Genomic DNA, 19,961 nt, shown 5'->3' on the forward strand with positions numbered 1-19,961 from the left:
CCTTTTCTGCAGAGTCAAGAGCAGACCACTTGTGTTTCAGGATCCTATGCCAGTGAGTATTAACTGTAGATGGACGTGGTACTGACACACCAGTTCTTTCCCAGCTTAGCCATCTTCTCTGCCTGGTCACCAGCATGTGGCTTTAGAAATACTTCTTGCTTAAATGGCAGATTAAATAATTTTATTCAATGTTTACCTAGATCCTGGGGCAAGAAACCAGCATTCCTTGTATAGATTTTGCTTCCTGGCCTCTTCTGGACCCCAAGATGCAGGAGAGGACTTTCTGTCTGAGTCCATGGATCAGGGCATGTGGCCAGAGGTCTCGTGTCTCATGACTGAGTGTTTTACCAGAGATCCGAGGGTCAGGGCTGGGGACTGATTTCTCTCTCCGCTGCTTGTTGCAGGAGGATGCCCTACTCCCTCACAGTAGCCTTTATGAAAAGAAAAAAAACTGGTGAGTCAAACTGCATTTTATCTAAAGAGGAAGCTTAAAATAATCTGAGCCATTTGACAAAACTAGAAGGATCAGATCTCAGGTTTTTGATCTTATGTGGGTGGTCATTGTTCCAGACCGTTAAGGTAGATAGTTGTCTGGACTCAGTGGAACCTCATGCATTTTAAGAGTCCCTGAAACCCACGTGGCCACTCTGTAGACTTACATTTACCGTGACTCTCAACACCATATTCTCTCTTTCCAAGAAATCATGGGCCCAGACATTGATATTCTGATGAGCTGATATAGAAATAAATTTCAGGCAGAGGGGTTTGGTTGGAGAGAAGCAAGAAGGTCAAGCAGAAACAAGGAATGGAAAAGTGTTTTATGTTCGTGTCAGAGGAGCTTCCAGATCACTCCAGGCTGGGGCTTGGGGATGAATGTCTCATAGGGACTTGACTTCAAGACCCAGGGACTTAAAAGTAGACATTTAGGAAAAGAAATGCCTCAGTAAGCTTGCATTCTCTGTGCCAAATTGTAAGGAAAGGGTATAGATAGGCTTCTTTCCTTCCTTCCCTAGAGTGGGACAAGAGGCCCAGTGTGACTCCACGGACTTCTGAGAGATGGGTTCTCTTGTGCAGGGCCACTTGATGAACACGTGCACCTCAAAAAGGCTAATAAGAGATTTGGGGAATTCCAGTGTCGGAGAGGTGTGACTCAGCCAACCGAAAACATTTTAAGCACCAGATTCGTGAAAGCTCAGAAAAATCAAGCTCTAGCCTTAAACAAAATGGCAGGTAGGAATCAGGAGCTGAAGCCAAGGGTATGGTAATGGGAGAAAGTCCAGCAGCCTGGGAGCAGGTTAGTGATGGGAAGCTGCGCAGGAGAGACCCATGCTAATAGCTCTAGGCTGCCAGCCTTCATGGCCATTGGCCTGGCTTAAACATACATACAGGGTCAAGCATTCATCCCTTTCTGGAAATCTCTAGTTGAAAACAAACTCAGACAAATCATTTTCTATCAATTTAGAGTGAAAACCAAAATCCCCAGAGTAACTCAATATCACCTGCCTTGATCACTTCCTGGAAAACCTCCAGGGTGCAGTATCTTTGCAACCCATTGTTCTCAGGCATAAACTTCTCTGGCTTATAAACCACATGGAGAACAATCTACCTCCTTTTTGTGGGCTGCTAATTGCAATTTTTGTTTTTACGTAAAGTGTCGGGACAGATGCTTTATTCAGAAAGTAAAGCCTCAGATAAACAGATGTGTAGGCGCAAGCTCATTGCTTGCTGCCCAGGGCTCTCTATAGCTGCATTTGACTCCCAGCTGTAGACTAAGTCAGTCAGGGAATGGTTAAGGCCCTGTGCGTATCAAACACTGAAATCATGGGAGCAGGTTAAAGAGGGGGAAGCTGAGCTTGGAAATGCAAAGTAGGATTTGGGAAGGATTTTTACCTTTTTCCCATTTCTACTCGTCAAAGTCTGCAGAACCTTCCGGGAAGCATGTCCTGGAGTGATTGGGAGTCAAATCACTTGGGATGCACAGGGAAGGAATGGTTTCTGTCTTAGATAATCTCTGTGAGGCTCCAAGAAAAAGGTGTGAAATCAAGGGAGGTGTCCTAGATCAACAGAAGGATGGGTTCAAAGCCCCATGGGAGACCCAGCTGCTTTGTTCCTCTTTTTCCTTCTCTTCTCTACCTGCCCATCCCCCACAAGAGGAAATGTTAACATTTCCCTCATTTCTTCCTGGCTGTAGGATAATTTTGGCCAGAGTAACAATCTTAAAACATAGCCTTCTTTGTGATGCTCTCTCGATAAAAAATAATGAAACAAATGCTTTTGCTGCTTACAATATGTTAGGCACTGTTTTAAGCTCTTTGCACATTCTAAGTCATTTATTTCTCACAACAACACTGTGATGCAGATGCCATTATCATCCCTGTTTTAGAGAGGGAGGGGAGAACTGAGGCATAGGGAGGTTAATTAACTTGTACCAGGTCATAGTGCTAAGTGGCAGAGCCAGGATTTGAACCTAGAATCTAGATCAAGATCCGTGCTTTTTTCTCCACTCTGCCTATAGGACAAAGAACAAGTGTATTAGTCTGGCATTCAGTGTCTTCCACCACCTGAGCCCTGTCTACTTTGTCCTTTGTGTATACTTCAAAATACTCTGTGTGCCTCCCACAGACCAGGAGATTTCTTAGCTCCACCTAGAGAGTTCCCTCTGACCTTCTAGGTCTGTCTGGTTCCAGGAATGCAGGTGGGGAGCACTGGTTTTGGATTCAGGGGATTTGGTTGAGTCCCCATTTTGTTCTGACCTCTGTATGTCCATGGGCCTATGGGCTTCCCTCTCTTGTCCTCAGTTTGTTTACCTGTTGCTGTGGTTTGGATATGGTTCGTTGGTCCTCACCAAAGCTCATGTTGAAATTTGACTCCCAATGTGATGGTGTTGGGAGATGGGGCCTAATGAGAGGTGTTTGGGTCAAGAGGGCTCTGCCCTTGTTGGGTGTCTTGGTGCTGTTGTCTCAATAATAAGTTCTCTCTCTGGCAAGACATGGGTTTCAGCACTTGTTCTTCCCCTTCCTAGATGTGTGACTTTGGGCAAGTTACTTAACTCTTGTCATCCAAATTTTATTCTCTAATCTGGGCTAGGGGGATTACAAGGTGATGGGGGACCCTTGAATGAATGAATGAGGCAATATGTGGTTTTATTTATTTGTTTTGCAGAGAGCTCACTTTGGAGTAGCACAAACGAAGGATTAGAGGGGAACAATCCAGGAAGCGGAGTGACCAGTTAGGATGCTGTTGTAGTCAGTGTACATGATGTGGCTTTGTAGTTAGTGACAAGAGTGCCTGTCTTGTTGGGCTAGTGGGGTAGGGGAGGGGGTGCTGATTAAGGCCTAGAGAAAGGGTGGCCTTTTCTTTTATTTTCCCTCTTCTCTTCTCTTCTCTTCTCTTCTCTTCTCTTCTCTTCTCTTCTCTTCTCTTCTCTTCTCTTCTCTCCTCTCCTCTCCTCTCCTCTCCTCTCTTCTCCTCTTTTTTCTCTCTCTGCCTCACTGTCTCTCTCTCTTGCTCCCTGTCTCCTCCCTCCCTTTGTTCTTTCCTCTCTTCCTTCTTTCTAAAAAATTTTGCACAATGTTACCCCCAATCTCTAGGCTGTGTATCGTTGGAGCTGAGTCTCCTTAGAGGGGTAACTTTTCTAACCAGTTTGCCCTTTTGCAAATTTAGTTCAAGGTACTCTAATAAGGTTGTAGGCAGTCCTGGTTGTGCTAATGTAGGAAAGAATGAAATGAGGCTGCTTAAAGGCAGTTTGGGCTTGGGAGACAGGGTGGCCGGGCGTGATGAGGCTGAGTAGATGAAAAGTAGCCCTTTTCATCAAGAGCACTAGAAATCAGTCTCCAAGAGCATGTTGAGGAGCTGCTGCCTTACTTTGCTTTAGAGAGCTCAGCTACTTTAGCATTTTGACTTGATGCTGATTTGCCAAGCTCCCCACCACCTCAGCTTCTCTGTCCTGCAGCTTGGCTTCCTTTCTGGGCTTAGCGGAAGAGCCATGCTTAGCTCTTGGATATAATGTTCGGTCTTTTACAAATGATTTACTAGGTATTTGGAGATAGGGTTGGAAGTGAATCTCTGGATAGTCAGATTACCTACACAGTGAAGCTCTGCTCTACCCAAAAGGGGTTATTTTAAGCTTCACACAGTAGCTTAGCATTGGGAAATCTGTCTAGCCAAATAATTGCATTAACAATTTAGAGAAAAAATTATATAGCTAAGCCACTAGATAACAGAAGAGAATTTGCTAATATTCAGCAATGATTTTTGATAAAAACATGAAGTGAAATAAGAATAGAAGAATACTTCATAGAGAGGATTAAGAAACATTGGAAATCAATAGCAAGCATTACATTGAAAGATAGAAGACATTCCCATTCAAGTTCTGAATAAGGTATGAATACTTGTTATCATGGCATCATTTGACAAAATTTTGAAGTTTCCAACTAAATACGACCATGAAAATAAATGATTTGACTATAAATATATCCACTTATTATTTGTCAAATAAATAATTTAAAGCTGATTTAAATATGAAAAGAGAATAAAATTATCACTGTATGCTTCTTACATCATCTTATATCTGGATAATCTAAGTGTCTAAGTGAAAAATTATTATAACTAATTAGAAAATTTGTCTGGAAAAAAGATGAATACACAAAAATAATTTTCCCTTTTCCATTCTCAAAAATGATTTAGGAAATAAAATGAAATAAAAATTGACAAAACTACAAATTACCAAGGGATAAATTATAAGAAATGTAATATCTACATGAAGGAAACTTTAAACTTTTACAGAAGGATTAAATGTTCCCAAAGTAATATATGAAAGGACGTGCCATGTTCCTGGATGGAAGATTAACATCATAAATATAAAAATCCCTCCAAAACCAACCAAAATATTTAATATAATTCTGATAAGAATCATAATGTTATCTTTTTGGAAAGGTGGGGAGCTGACAATTTTATTTTAAATTTCATATCAGATAATAAATGTGTGGAAATGGCTGAGAAAATTTTGATAAAGAAGAATAACGAAATGATAATTACTGTACCAGATATTAAAATATAGCATAGGTTGGGCAGTGGCTCATGCCTGTAATCTCAGCACTTGGGAGACCAAGGCAGGCAGATCACTTGAGGCCAGGAGTTTGAGACCAGCCTAGCCAACATAGTGAAACCCCATCTCTACTAAAAATGCAAAAATTAGCTGAGCGTGGTGGTGCATGCCTATAGTCCCAGCTACTGGGGAGGCTGAGGCATGAGAATCACTTGAACTCAGGAGACAGAGGTTACAGTGAGCTGAGATCATGCCACTGCACTCCAGCCTGGGTGACAGAATGAGACTCTGTCTCATAAGTAAACAAATAAATAAAATAAAAATAAAACGTAGCATAAAACCACTATGATGAAAACAGACAAATAATCGGTGGACTTCAAGAGGGAGTCCCAAAATAGATCCAAGGATAAATAGAAAGTTAATGTGTGATAAAAGTACTAATTAAAATCAGTGGAGTTACTGTTATTCATTAAATAGTGATGAAAGGATTGATACACATTTAGAAAAAAAAATAGATCCCTACCTCAAACCTCATAAATAAAATAAATTTCAGATGCATTAATCATCAAAGAGTAGCCAAAGCTGGAAATAATCTAAATGACTGTCAGCTGGTGAGTGAATAGACAAAATGTGGCTTATCCATACAGTGAAACACTGCTCAGCAACAAAAAGAACAGAACCACGGATGCGTGCAGCCCCACGGATTAACCTCAAAACATACGCTAAATGAAAGAAGCTAAACACAAAAAATGACATATTGTATGATTCCATTTATACAAAGTTTCTAGAAAACACCAAACATATGGAGATGGGTGGTTTCTTGGGGGCTGGAAAGACAGCAGAAAGTGACTGCAAACAGGCATGATGGAAATTTTGGGGGTGATGCAAGTGTTCTAAAACTGGTTTATAGTGATGATTGTATAACTGTATAAATTTACTGAAATGTATCAAACCATAAAACTGAAATGGGTGAATTTTTTTTGTATGTAAATTGTACCTTAATCAACTATTAAAAATGTTGAATAAAAAGGAAAAGTATACAATAAAATATTAGGGTGGCATATTGAAACATTTTCTTAAGCAAGTTGTGAAAAACAGGTCGTTAAGAAAAATATATATTTGACAACATAAGAATTTTAAAAATTGATGGTAAAAGATTTTAAAATGTAACAATGCAAGTGATAGTAATGCAAGTAAATAAAATGAATGCTTTTTGCTGCTTACAATGTATTAGGCACTGTTCTAAGCTCTTTGCACATTCTAAGTCATTTATTTCTCACAACAACACTGGGATGCAGATGCCATTATCATCCCCGTTTTAGGGAGGGAGGGGAGAACTGAGGCATAGGAAGGTTAATTAACTTGTACCAGGTCATAGCGCTAAGTGGCAGAGCCAGGATTTGAACCTAGAATCTAGATCAAGATCCATGCTTTTTTCTCCACTCTGCCTATAGGACAAACAACAAGTGTGTTAATCTGGTATTCAGTGTCTTCCACCACCTGAGCCCTGTCTACTTTGTCCCCTGTGTATACTTCAAAGTACTCTGTGTGTCTCTCACAAAAGTATTTGCATCATTTATAAAAGACAAAGAGTGAATCTTTTCATTATGCAGAACCTCATAAAAATGACAGGAGGCAAAGAATCTAATCTCAAATTAGTCAGGGTATCCACAGATGACAATACAAGTGAACAGTAAAATGCAAACATTTTCTTAGATAGCTGCAGAAATGAAGATTTAAACAATGAATTACCTTTTTTTTGGGCACAGTTTCTAACATCTGATAATACATGCTATGAAGGTGTGAGGAAATGAGCAGTCTGTTTAGAGGAGTATAAATCAATTCAGTTTTTTTTGGAGATTGACTGGATAATAATAGCTATTAAAAAGAAAAATGTGTATGTCTTTAGTAAAATAATCCCTCTTCTAGTAATCTTTCTTCCAGAAAATACCACAGATACAGTAAGGCAATTGCATAAAGATGTTTGTTGATGGGTTGTTTGACAATAACAAGAAGTAGGAGCCAGATGAATTTCTATAAAGAGGAATATGTTTGAATATATTTTGCTACATCAAAATAATAGCAAAAAATGTAATATTATGCAAAAGAAGTAGGAACACTTATTTTCATTGGCTTGGAAAGCTGTATATTATTGTATTAGCTTTTTATTCTTGTGTAACAAATTACCACAAGTTTAGAAACATAAGATAACACCTAATCATTAGCCTATGTCTCTGTAGCTCAGACATCTGGCATGGAAGTGGACTGGATTCTCTGCTCAGGGCATCACCAAGCTAAAGTCAAAGCATCAGTTGGACTGAGTTCTTATCTGGAAGCTCTGAGGGAAAAATCAGGTTCCAATCTCATTCTTCTTGTTGGCAGAATTCAGCTCCTTGTGGTTGGAGGCCGAAGTTCCTGTTTCATTGCTGGTTGTCAACTAGGGACTGCTTTTTTTGTTTTGTTTTGTTTTTATTATACTTTAAGTTCTACGGTATATATGCACAATGTGCAGGTTTGTTACATATGTATACATGTGCCATGTTTGTGTGCTGCACCCATTAACTCGTCATTTACATTAGGTATATCTCCTAATGCTATCCCTCCCCCAACCCCACGACAGGCTCCTGTGTGTGATGTTCCCCACCCTGTGTCCAAGTGTTCTCATTGTTCAATTCCCACCTATGAGTGAGAACATGCGGTGTTTGGTTTTCTGTCCTTGCAATAATTTGCTCAGAATGATGGTTTCCAGCTTCATCCGTGTCCCTACAAAGTACATGAACTCATCCTTTTTTATGGCTGCATAGTATTCCATGGTGTATATGTGCCACATTTTCTTAATCCATTCTATCATTGATGGACATTTTGGGTTGTTTCCAAGTCTTTGCTATTGTGAATAGTGCTCAATAAACATACGTGTGCATGTGTCTTTATAGCAGCATGATTTTTAACCCTTTGGGTGTGTACCCAGTAGTGGGATGGCTGGGTCAAATGGTATTTCTAGTTCTAGATCCCTGAGGAATCGCCACACTGATTTCCACAATGGTTGAACTAGTTTACAGTCCCACCAACAGTGTAAAAGTGTTCCTATTTCTCCACATCCTCTCCAGTACCTGTTGTTTCTTGACTTTTTAATGATCGCCATTCTAACTGGTGTGAGATGGTATCTCATTGTGGTTTTGATTTGCATTTCTCTGATGGCCAGTGATGATGAGCATTTTTTCATGTGTCTGTTGGCTGTGTAAATGTCTTCTTTTGAGAAGTGTCTGTTCATATCCTTCGCCCACTTTTTGATGGGGTTGTTTGATTTATTCTTGTAAATTTGTTTAAGTTCTTTGTAGATTCTGGACATTAGCCCTTGTCGGATGGGTAGATTGTGAAAATTTTCTCCCATTCTGAAGGTTGCCTGTTCACTCTGATGGTAGTTTCTTTTGCTGTGCAGAAGCTCTTTAGTTTAATTAGATCCCATTAGTCAATTTTGGCTTTTGTTGCCATTGCTTTTGGTGTTTTAGTCATGAAGTCCTTGCCCATACCTATGTCCTGAATGGTATTGCCTAGGTTTTCTTCTAGGGTTTTTATGGTTTTAGGTCTAACATTTAAGTCTTTAATCCATCTTGAATTAATTTTTGTATGAGGTGTAAGGAAGGGATCCAGTTTCAGCTTTCTACACATGGCTAGCCAGTTTTCCCAGCACCATTTATTAAATAGGGAATCCTTACCCCATTTCTTGTTTTTATCAGGTTTGTCAAAGATCAGATGGTTGTAGATGTGTGGTATTATTTCTGAGGGCTCTGTTCTGTTTCATTGGTCTATATCTCTGTTTTGGTACTAGTAGAATCAATATCGTGAAAATGGCCATACTGCCCAAGGTAATTTATAGATTCAATGCCATCCCCATCAAGCTACCAATGACTTTCTTTGCAGAACTGGAAAAAACTACTTTAAAGTTTATGTGGAACCAAAAAAGAGCCCGCATTGCCAAGACAACGCTAAGCAAAAAGAACAAAGCAGGAGGCATCATGCTACCTGACTTCAAACTATACTACAAGGCTACGGGACTGCTTTCAGCTCCTTGAGGCCAGTGGTATTCCTTGTCACATGTCTACCTCTACCTTTAAGCCAGAATACTGTGTCAAATCCTTCTTATGCTTTGAATCTGTGAATTCCTCTGTCTCTGACCTCTACACCCAAATTTAAAGAGTTTATGTAATTGTCTCCCTATTTTTAGTGGAACTTATTTGGGACCTTAACTATATCTGCAGAATTTCTTTACATTAACATCTGGATTCATGTTTGATTGAATAAGTGGGAGAAAGTATAGGTACACTAGGGTCTAGGGATATTGAAGACTATATAAGAATTCTGCCTACCATAATGATATACCACAAATGAAAAAGCTATTCATAGATCAAAAGATTGAGCATTAATCCATTAAAACATTTTATATTTCTATATAGATGAGTATGTTTACACACATATAGATATGCTGACATTAATATGTATGGGGCTGGACAGTGGAGAGCCATGCAAGACCATTCAGGGGCACGCTGTTAAAAGTGGTTATTTCCGTGATTGGGATTGGATAGGACAGAGGGGACTTGTACTTTTCCTTATGTTTTCACTTTTCTAAACATTACAAAATTATGGGTGTTTATCTGTTTGTGTTTTTTAGTACAGCAGCCCTTCATATCTTTGGCGTCTGCATCTGTGGATTCAAGCAACTGTGGATCAAAAAATTTTTTTTAGGCTGGACATGGTGGCTCTTGCCTGTAATCCCAACACTTTGGGAGAGAGAGGTGGGTGGATCACCTGAGGTCAGGAGTTTGAGACCAGCCTGGCCAATATGTTGAAACCCCATCTCTACTAAAAATACAAAAATTAGCCAGGTGTGGTGGCGAGCCCCTGTAATCCCAGCTACCTGGAAGGCTAGAGAATCACTTGAACCCAGGTGGTAGAGGTTGCAGTGAGCCGAGATCGCATCATTGCACTCTAGCCTGGGCGACAAGAGCGAGACTCTGTCTCAAAAAAAAATTATTTTTTTAAAGGATGGTTGTATCAGTATTGAACGTGTACAGGCTTTTTTCTTGTCATTACTCCCTAAACAATACAGTATAACAACAATTTACATAGCACTTATATTGTATTAGTTATTATAAGTAATGCAGATGATTTAAAGTATATGGCAGGCTGTGCATAGGTTATATACAAATATCACACCATTTAATATAAAGAACTTGAGCATCTGTGGATTTTGGTATCCACGGAGGGTGTCCTAGAACTAATCCTCTATGAATTCTGAGGAATGACTATATTTGAGCCCTTAAGGTCTCTGACATCACTGTAGGAGACAGACCTGAGGGAGGAAGGTGATCTATCTTCATAGACTTACATTGTCTTCCATTTTCTTCTGCTTATAGCCCAAGTCACAGCACTACTTCTTCCAAATTTCAACAGTCATACATATTTTAAAGAATTCGAGGAGAAAAATAGTCAATTATGTTTATCCAGATATTACCATTTCCAAGTTTTTTCTAGTGTTATTTCCTTTCTACTTGAATAACTTCATTTGTTGTCTCTTTTAGATCAGAACTGCTGAAAACAAATTCTCTTTGTTTTTCTTTATCTGTAAATATCTTTATTTTGCCTTCAGTCTTGAAGGATGTTTTCACTGAATATAGAATTCTGGGTAGACAATCCTTTTCTTTCAGCACTTAAAAAGGTTCCATTGTTTTCTGGCTTCCATGATTTCTTGTGAGAAATCTGCAGTCATTTGAATTGTTGTTCCCTTAATATCAGCAGTTTTTAACTTCAGCATTATTGACATTTTGGGTTAGATATTCTTTGTTGTGAGGCTCGTGTCCTGTAGGATGTATAGTAGTATCCTTAGCATATTAGGTACCAATAGCAGTCCACTCCCAATGTGAGAAAAATTAAAAAGTTGGAAGCATCTGATCTTGTCAGATGTCTCTGGGGAGGCAAAACCAACCTGGTTGAGAAACACTGCCATGCAATATGTAATTACACTGCATATAATGGTTAATTTAAAAATATTTTAAATATAATTATATATATCTTAGTTTTTCCACAGTTTGATTATAATGTGTCTGGTCATAGTTTTCTTTGAGTTTATCCTATTTGAGTTTCACTAAACTTCTTGAATATGTAAATTTATGTCCTATAATAAATTTGAAGAGTATTTACTCATTTGTTAAAATTGTTAAAAAATTTTTTCAGCACCTATCTTTTTCTCCTCCTCTTTAGAGACCCTGATAGCATGAATTTTAGAACTTTTGATATAGTTCCATAGGTCCCGAATCTGTATGACTTTTTTTCTCAATTTTTATATCCTCTATTATTCAGATTAGATACTTTTAATTGACCTATTTTCAAGTTCATCAGCTCTTTCCTGAGTCATGTTTATTCCTCTGTTGAATCCATACAGGGAGTTTATAATTTCAGTTATTGTAATTTTTAGTTTTTTTGTATAGTTTTTCTTTTGTTTTCTTTTCTTTTTTTTTTTTTGAGATGGAGTCTTGCTCTGTTGCCCAGGCTGGAGTGCAGTGGTGCGATCTCAGCTCACTGCAAGCTCCGCCTTCTGGGTTCACGCCATTCTCCTGCCTCAGCCTCCCAAGTAGCTGGGACTACAGGTGCCTGCCACCATGCCCGGCTATTTTTTTGTATTTTTAGTAGAGACGGGGTTTCACCGTGTTATCCAGGATGGTCTTGATCTCCTGACCTCGTGATCCGCCTGCCTTGGCCTCCCAAAGTGCTGGGATTACAGGCGTGAGCCACCGCGCCCGGCCGTATAGTTTTTATTTCTGTGCTGAGAATTTCTTTCAATTAATTTAAGGAGTGTTTACCATTATTTTATGGAATATGGTTACAGTAGTTTTTTTAAGGTCTTTGTCTGATAATCTCAACATCTGGTCATTTTGGCATTGGTATCTGCTGTCTTTTCCCTTGAGAGCTAATTATATTTTCCCAGTTTTTTGGTTTGGGTAATTTTAAATTGTGTATTAGTTTCTCATTACTGATGTAACAAATTACCACAAACTCTTGGTTTAAGGCAAATTTATTCTTATAATTTTGATCAGAATTATAAAATTAAGATGTTGGCAGGCCTGCATGTCTTCTGGAGACTTTAAGAGAGAATACATTTCTTGTCTTTTCCATATTTAGAGGTGCCTGCATTCCTTTTGTGTGGCCCCTTTCTCCATCTGCAAAACACATCACTTCAACCTTTGGTTTTGTCTTCACACCTCTTTTTTGTCTGATTCTGATCCTCCTGCTGCTCTTATAGAAGGGCCCTGTGATTACACTTGGCTCACTTATACAATCCAGGAAATCTGCCCATCTCAACACTCTTAACTTCATTACATTTGCAAAATCCCTTTTACCATGCAAGGTAACATATTCATGGGTTCTGGGGATTAAGAATTAGATATCTTTGCAGGGGTTATTCTTTATCCTACCACAAATTACATTCTATAGATTTTGATTATTATGTTACAAGAATCTAAGTTCTGTTAAAATCCTATGAAGAATGTTCATTTCTTTTTTGAAAGTGGGTAATCAACTCAGTAAGTAAGGTTCAGATGACAAGGGCTGACCTACCTCCTGTAGGCTCTGGATCCAATGTAAATTTAATTTTCACGGCCTTTGTGGTGCTGTTTGGTTTCATCCCCAGATGTGCCACTCGGGGTCAGTCTATAATCTGGGGGATGGTGTCTAGTATAGTTCAGTTCCCAGAGGTTTTGCTATACTGCTTTGAGTTGATTCTGTGTATACACAGCTTGGGCATGAACTAGGATTTCATACCTAGATTTAGAAGGTAGTTTTTGCCACGCCTTTCAATTTGTGATTGCCCTCACAGTCTCTGGCTCCCAGAGTCCCTTTATCTTGGTTTTCTGGTAGAAATCTGAAGTTTAGCCTCCCTGCACAGTTCCACACTTTTTGTGAATGGGTCTACCTTTGGGCAAAATGGTGAGATACGAGAGAGAGAGAGAGAGAGAGAGAGAGAGAAAAGAAATTTCTCACACACTCTTCAGACCAAAGAGGCCAATTTCTCTGGCCAATGAGTAGGATTTTCTCTGAGTTGTGGGTGCCCTTGTGGCTGGTATTCCTGCAGCTGCTGGGGGAGTGCTGGTTCATGCCTGGGACTTGCCTTGAGACAAGGCCAGCAGAGGAAAAAGGGAGAAAAAGGGGATACCTCCCACATCCTATGTTCCACAGAGGTCCCCCTTTCCAGTCTTCTGGCTAGAAAAAGAAAGTTTCTCTTGGAGATTTTTCCATCTGTGCCTGCTGTGTAGTTCTGGGATGTGAGCCACCCTAGAGTCTAAGCTGGGAGAATTGAAAAAAAAATTAAACCAGGAAACTCACTGCTGTATTGGTTGTTCTTTGAGTTGTAATTTTCCACCCCAGCATGCCTGCTATTACTTATTTTTTAGAATCCTCTCATACAGTTGCTTTATCTAAATTGTCCAGAGATTTTAGTTCTAATCAGTGGGAGAGAAAGAATAGAGTGTACTCATTCTATCTTTTCCAGAACCAGAAGTCCCAGGTACATTATTGATAATATAAATGATGGCAAGGATGCAGCTTTTGATATTACAGTGAAACACATCATCAGACTTGTCCATGGTGATTCTTCTTATCTGCAGAGAGAACCTATAGTGAATTCCCCTAGTTAGTCCAGGGGCAGATGATTTAAATTTTTTTAATGACCCCTGTAGATATTTATTACTCATTTGATGTCTGAGGTTACATTTGATGATGAGGAGGTTACTTTGTTTTTCTGCATATGAAGTAGTAATAATCACTGTCATCTCATTCTGTTTCTCCTCCTCCTCCTCCTCATGATCGGTTACTGCGTGGTTACTACGCTCCAGGGACCATGCCGAGGGTTTTAGATACATTATATCTCTGAAGTAGCCTCATCAGTGTATACTTTGCAAAAGTTCCAGGCTTAGGCTTGTGCAATAATGTCTTCTTTAAGAACCTGGGCTAGGTCTATTTCACTCTCCTGCATGTGGCCAGCATGTTTCAGTACTTGGTCTGCAGTAGATGCTCAGTAAACATCTGTCCAGTGAACGAATGAATGAAAGACAGCCCCCCCATCCCCCACCCCCACCCTGTTTTGTAGGCTATTTAAGGAGAACTTAGTAATATGTACCTGCTTCTCCTTCCTAACTGCAGCTGAGCTAGGAGACCCTTTCACAGGAAAACACCAGTTTTGCTATTCATCTACTCGCTCGACAAGTATGTGCACCAGGCAGCATTCTGGCTGCTAGGGATGCTGTGGGGAAAAGCAGGCGAGACCCTAGCCCATGGAGCTTACATTCTAATGTGTGAGTCAGACAAGAAACAAGTAACTGATCAATGAACGAAATAATTTCAGGTGGTGATAAGTGACACGGAGAAATGAAATAGGGTAATGGGTAGCGGCGGAAGGGTGTGGGGCTACTTTAGCTAGGAAGGTTATGGTTATGGGGGATTCTTGAAAGAGGCCCCAGTTGAGCTGAGATATGAGAAAGAACCAGTCAGACATTCATTTAGCAGCCTGGAAATTTTTTCTTGTTTAACATCCCTGTTGTTTTCACTGGGAAAATCAGCGGCGCAAATAAGACTGCAAAAGCAATGTTTAAAATTGACTGAAGAGAATCAATTACTTTCCGATGGTTGAAGGGGCCTTAGACACCATCCAGTGATTTATTTTAGCCCAGGGATTTTATTTTTTTACTCGTTTTAAATCATCAAAGGTTTAAAACAATTTTTAAAAATTTCTGTTATTTAATTTGTCTTTGTAGGTCCGTATTTTTTTAAAGACCTTGACCACCAAAACTTTTTAATTAAGTAGATTTCTTAGGAGACTGCAGTGTCAGTGCATGGGTTGGTATAATTCCAGTCAAAAGACAGACACCCGAATTTTTTTAGATTACCTCCGCAGTCTTATTAGAGAGATATATGCGGATTTGTTGGATTTTTTTTGTTTTTTTTGAGATGGAGTCTCACTCTGTCACCCAGGCTGGAGTGCAGTGGCACAATCTCAGCTCACTGCAACCTCCACCTCCCGGGTTCAAGTGATTCTCCTGCCTCAGCCTCCCGAGTAGCTGGAACTATAGGCATGTGCCACCACACCCAGCTGATTTTTGTATTTTTAATAGAGACAGAGTTTTACCATGTTGGCCAGGCTGGTCTTGAACTCCTGACCTCAGGTGATCTGCCGCCTCAGCCTCCCAAAGTACTGGGATTACAGGCATGAGCCACTGTGCCCAGCCTGATTTGTTAGATTTTTAAAATTAAAAAGAACATTATACAAACTTGGTTTAAAAATACATTAAAAATATCTGACTGTCCCTGCCCTGAGGTCAGTGATTTTCCTCTTAGATTCACCATTGTAATTTCAGAAACTAGAATAGTGCTTGGCATCAGGCAAGTACTTAATATTGTTCAAATGAATAAATGCTTCTACGGAAATTTTTCCTCATCTAATGGAATAATAAAGCTTTAATTAAAATCAATAAGAGTTGATTTGTATTTAGGTTTTTTTTTTTAGGTGGCTGACTGTGAAGTTTGAATAACGTGTATCTTGGAATAAACAGGGTTTGTGACCTCCCAAATAAATATTATTACATCCCCTCTTCATTGTGGACTCACTCTGTGCCAGGTGCCATTGCACATTTAAGTCTTCGCAGCAGCTCTGTCCATTTTGCAGATGAGGAAACTACGGCTCAGAGAGGTGAAGTCTTGACGTCACACAGCTGGTTAGTGGCAAAACCAGAATATGGATCTCGATCAGTCTGTCTCTGAAACCTGTGCTCTTAACTATTATGCTATGGAAAAGGCAGGGAAGCATGGGGGTCATGGTGTCGGGGTCCCTGGAACTGGGCTCTGAAACATAGCTCTGCTGTGTGATCTTAGGCAAGTGGCTAGACCTCTCTGTACCTCAGCTTTATCATCTCTAAAATGAAGCTATGAATACTACTTACCTAATGGAGTTAAGATTATTAAATCAGTTAATTTGTGTAAAATGTACAGTAAGTACTTCATAAGACTAGTTAACTATTTCTGAGCACAAAGCATTTGGCTGTTTGATATTGTGAGTTGGTGGCACATGTGTCTTGACTGGCTGGGCCAGGCTGCCTCTCTGCTGCTGCGGTGGCTCTGGTGACAGCCACACTCAGTGCAATAGACTGCAGTGGACGTCACTTTATGCTCCCCTGGTCTATTGGTTTGGGTCGTGTGTCATGTTGGCAGCTAATTTTCTCAGAGCGGTTGGTTGGAATGGGTCTCAGAGACCGTGCCTACAGTCATAAAACATACAGACCCAGCGAAAATGCTCATCATCTCTCCTCGTGATTAGTGTGGATTGCTGTGGCTTTATTGATCGGCAACAATCGCTTGCTCTCACAAAAACCCCTATGCCTAGCCCACACAGACCAGTTTTGCTGTTTTGTGCTGTTTTCTTTTGGCATTTTGACAAAGTCGGTGAATTAACAATGTTCCATGGAGTGTTTGAAAGTGGTTGGCTGTTGGTGGATCTATCTCGCTCCATGACTGAAGACAACATCTCCCACCCCTCCTTTATCCACTCCCTCTTCACACCATCTGCAGAATCATCCTTCTGAAACAGCAATCCATATCACTCTGTTGGATAAAAACCTTTAGTGATAAGCAGATTTTTGGGGGTGATAGAAATGTTGATTATCATCATTGTGGTGGGGGTTAAGTGTATGTGTACATTTTGTCAAAACACATCAACTCTACACTAAAAATTGGTATATGTAAGTTACACCTCAGTAAAATAAAAACAATCAGTAGAGGAGAAAAGCCTGAACTCCCTCACTGGGCATTCAGAGCTCTTCTCGGCCTGGCCACAGCCTATCTTTCCAGCCTCTTCTCCTCCCCCTCTGCATCCCTGTCCCACAGCTTTCCCTGCCTGTGCTATCTCTGCTTATAAGCTGAAACATTTACATGTGCTTTTCTCTCTGCCAGGAAAGCCCTCCTCACCCTTCCCAGTGTGGACACTTCCCTCTCTCTTCCCTTCAAGGTCTCCTATGTGTCAGGCTCTGTGCTAGGCACGGGGCCTACTGAGATACAGAAGACACAGCTCAGCCTCTGAGGATCACGAAGCAAACCCATCCCCTCCCTGGATACAGCATTTTGGTCCCACCATGTCTTCTTCTTCTGGCATATGGGATCCTCAGAACAGAGGGCACAGAGGGAGGCACGAAAGAGGAGGACTGGGTGCAGGCAGGCTGATGTGAGGCCCCCACAGCCTCTCTGTGTCTCCTTCCAGGAAGTCTCCCGTCCTCCCCCAACACATAGAAGCAGAGAGCAGAGCAGGTCAAGTTTCCACTCTGGAGACAGCTTCTTTAGGTTCCCAGCTCTTGTCCTGATAGCTGTGTGACTTTGGGAAAGTTGCCGAACCTCTCTGCACTTTGGCTTCATATCTGGAAGATGGTGAGACCAATAATTCCACCCCAAAGGATTCAGTGAATTAATATACGTAAAGTACTAAAAACAGTATCTGGCTCATCATAAAGGTTATATAAATATTGCTATTATTGTTCTTGCCCGCCAAGTACACCGAGATGAGTAAGAGCCTGGCTTTCAGGGGCATTTTTTTTTTCTGGTGGAAAAGTCCAGACAATACACACGTGGATAAATCAATAGCAAGAGGATACCACACTGTGATAAGTGCTTTGAAAGATACAAAGAGGAGACTGCGCTAGGGAGAAATTATTTTGGAGGAAAGGAGGCACTTTTTGGTTGGTGCGATGAGGAGTGGGCCTCTGTGAGGAGGAGAAATTTAGACAAAAGGCCAAGTGCTGAGAAGGAGGGAGGCATATAGAGGCCATTGGAAGAGGATTCCAGGGAGAGAAAGCATGGCGACATGCCCTAAGGAGGTACGAGCGCGGTGTGTCTGAACAGAGAGAAGCCGATAAAGCTGGAGTAGAGGAGGGCAAGGAGAGTGCAGGAGAAGGAGTTGTGGGACTGCAGGGGCTTGGCCACCAGTGCGTGGTACGAGCTGTGTCAAGGAGCTGGGATTTGATTCTTGCTGCGTTGGAAGCCACTGGAGAGGCTTAGGCAGGGTCTGATCTTACCAGGTTGTTTAATGCTCTCAGTTCTAGTTAAAGCCAAACCAGGAGCACTGCCTTCTGGGTTGTTCTCTGCAAAGGCTCTGTCATAGATTGTATCATGATACTACTTCCCTCAGTAGAGTGGCCCACCCAGGGCCACTGTCCTGCCCTGTCCTCAGTCCTCCCAGCCTGCCTCTTTGCCTTCAACCCATGCAAACTTACCCATCCTGTGTCCACACCTCATGACTTTCCTAAGTGGTTGCCCAGTTCCAACCTGGGAGAAATGTTCCCAGTCTGTTCCAAATGACTGGAAGTTCTTCAACAGAAAGCCCCACAGAAGAAATGCAGGAAAGAATAGGTGAATATTTCAACATCAGAATCAAAGTCATCTTGTAAATCAGCTGGAGAAAATGTTGGGCAAAAGGACCATTCCTTTTGGTGCTCTCAGATCTTGTCATCCTCTAACGTGCAAGTCTCTTCCTCTGATTATCTTTTCAGTACTTTGATGCCTTTTTCTTCTCTATCTGAGGGTTTCCATTTCATCCTTGGGATTTTGGGTTTCAGTGCATGTTGAGGACCACTGCAACAGTACTCAAATCAAGCCAGCCAGTGTCTATGTGAGAAAATATACTCATTCATCATTTTCTGCATTTATTTTGCAACTGATTGCATGGGCCTTCTGACCACTTGTCTGAAAAGTCTAATACCAAACAGGTTTCTGAAGAGCCAGCGGAACATTGCAGAGATACAGCCTTTAGCAACTCCAATTCTGAAATGAGCAAATGACTGATGACGTGCAATAGAACATGAAAAATAGAAGGTTCTCTGGTTAAGAAAGTTTGACTTGACAAAAAGAGAAACCTGGCTTTGATTCTCAGCTTCACTCTCTTTGTGGATTTAGACAAAATTACTTAAGTTCTTTGTGCTTCATTGGGGTTGGTAATTAGACTTTGCCATTACCATTGTGATAGTCCTGCGTGTGATAGTTATGTAAACTGTTTGAGAGTGCTTAGTAGGTATTCTATTCATTTTAGTTCCATTCCTGGTTGGAAATTGAATGTTGAATGCTGTGTTATCCTTTGTTTAGGGAGAAAAAAAAAAGGCTTAATTTAAAACAAGCATTACTTCTCTAACTTCCTGCACTGTCCCACCCTACCTTCCATTATCTTTGTGATTAAATAATATTCGTCATTAGGTGGGATCCAGCATGCAGGAAGCTCCTGGCTAGCTCAGGCAGTTTACACTCTGGAGAAGCGCCCATGGAGGGAATTTTAATTCAAGAACAAATGGAATCTAGTGTAGTGATAGTCAAAGAAAAGCTTTTCTACAATAGCCCTCCAAATTTGTGACATTTCTATGTAGCTCATTAAAAGACGGTTCAGGCCACTCCTGGATGGGCCAGTTTCTCAGCATTGAGCCTTCTGAGCCTGGTGGCATCCCCAGTGGGATTCAGCTGGAGGGACAGACACTGAGCAGAGAGAAGGTAAGCTCAGACCCCGTCGTCTTGGTCTGGGGTCCGGGAGACTTCTATTCTGAGGGTCATAGAAGAGATGCCAAGGGGAGATGGATCACCATGAAGTTCTCCAAGAGCATGGATGGGTGGAAGCCTTTCTATCAGCCCTGCAGCTATGTCGCTATATGGGAGCACATCTCAGACACACAAATATATAGTGTCCTGTTCTGGTATAAATGAAGTAGTCTGGAAAAGAGTAACTTTCCAACAAAGTGTTTGTCAGAGCAAATGTAATCTGCCTGCCTTTGTCACCTTTTCCCCACTAATAAAAAAATGAAAATTTTATCTCATTGATGTGTCACAAGCTGATCTATTGGGTGTT

The 19,961-nt window shown here is 40.7% G+C and overlaps 1 protein-coding gene across 12 annotated transcripts in view, besides 1 other annotated feature; it reads left to right on the top strand.

Annotated features, from left to right (window-relative positions):
- Positions 1–19,961, top strand: part of SV2B (synaptic vesicle glycoprotein 2B) — a 202,978-nt gene that overhangs the window by 55,678 nt on the left and 127,339 nt on the right. The window lies entirely within an intron of this gene.
- Positions 65–1,264: an enhancer, noted in NCBI's record as "MED14-independent group 3 enhancer chr15:91698560-91699759 (GRCh37/hg19 assembly coordinates)". NCBI's record gives its function as "activates an origin of replication core promoter dependent on BRD2, BRD4, P300/CBP and CDK7 cofactors, and independent of MED14, by STARR-seq in HCT116 cells {active_cell/tissue: HCT116}" and the evidence as "EXISTENCE:reporter gene assay evidence [ECO:0000049][PMID:35650434]".

Source organism: Homo sapiens, chromosome 15 (genome assembly GCF_000001405.40).
Source record: "Homo sapiens chromosome 15, GRCh38.p14 Primary Assembly".
Classification (NCBI taxonomy): domain Eukaryota; kingdom Metazoa; phylum Chordata; class Mammalia; order Primates; family Hominidae; genus Homo; species Homo sapiens.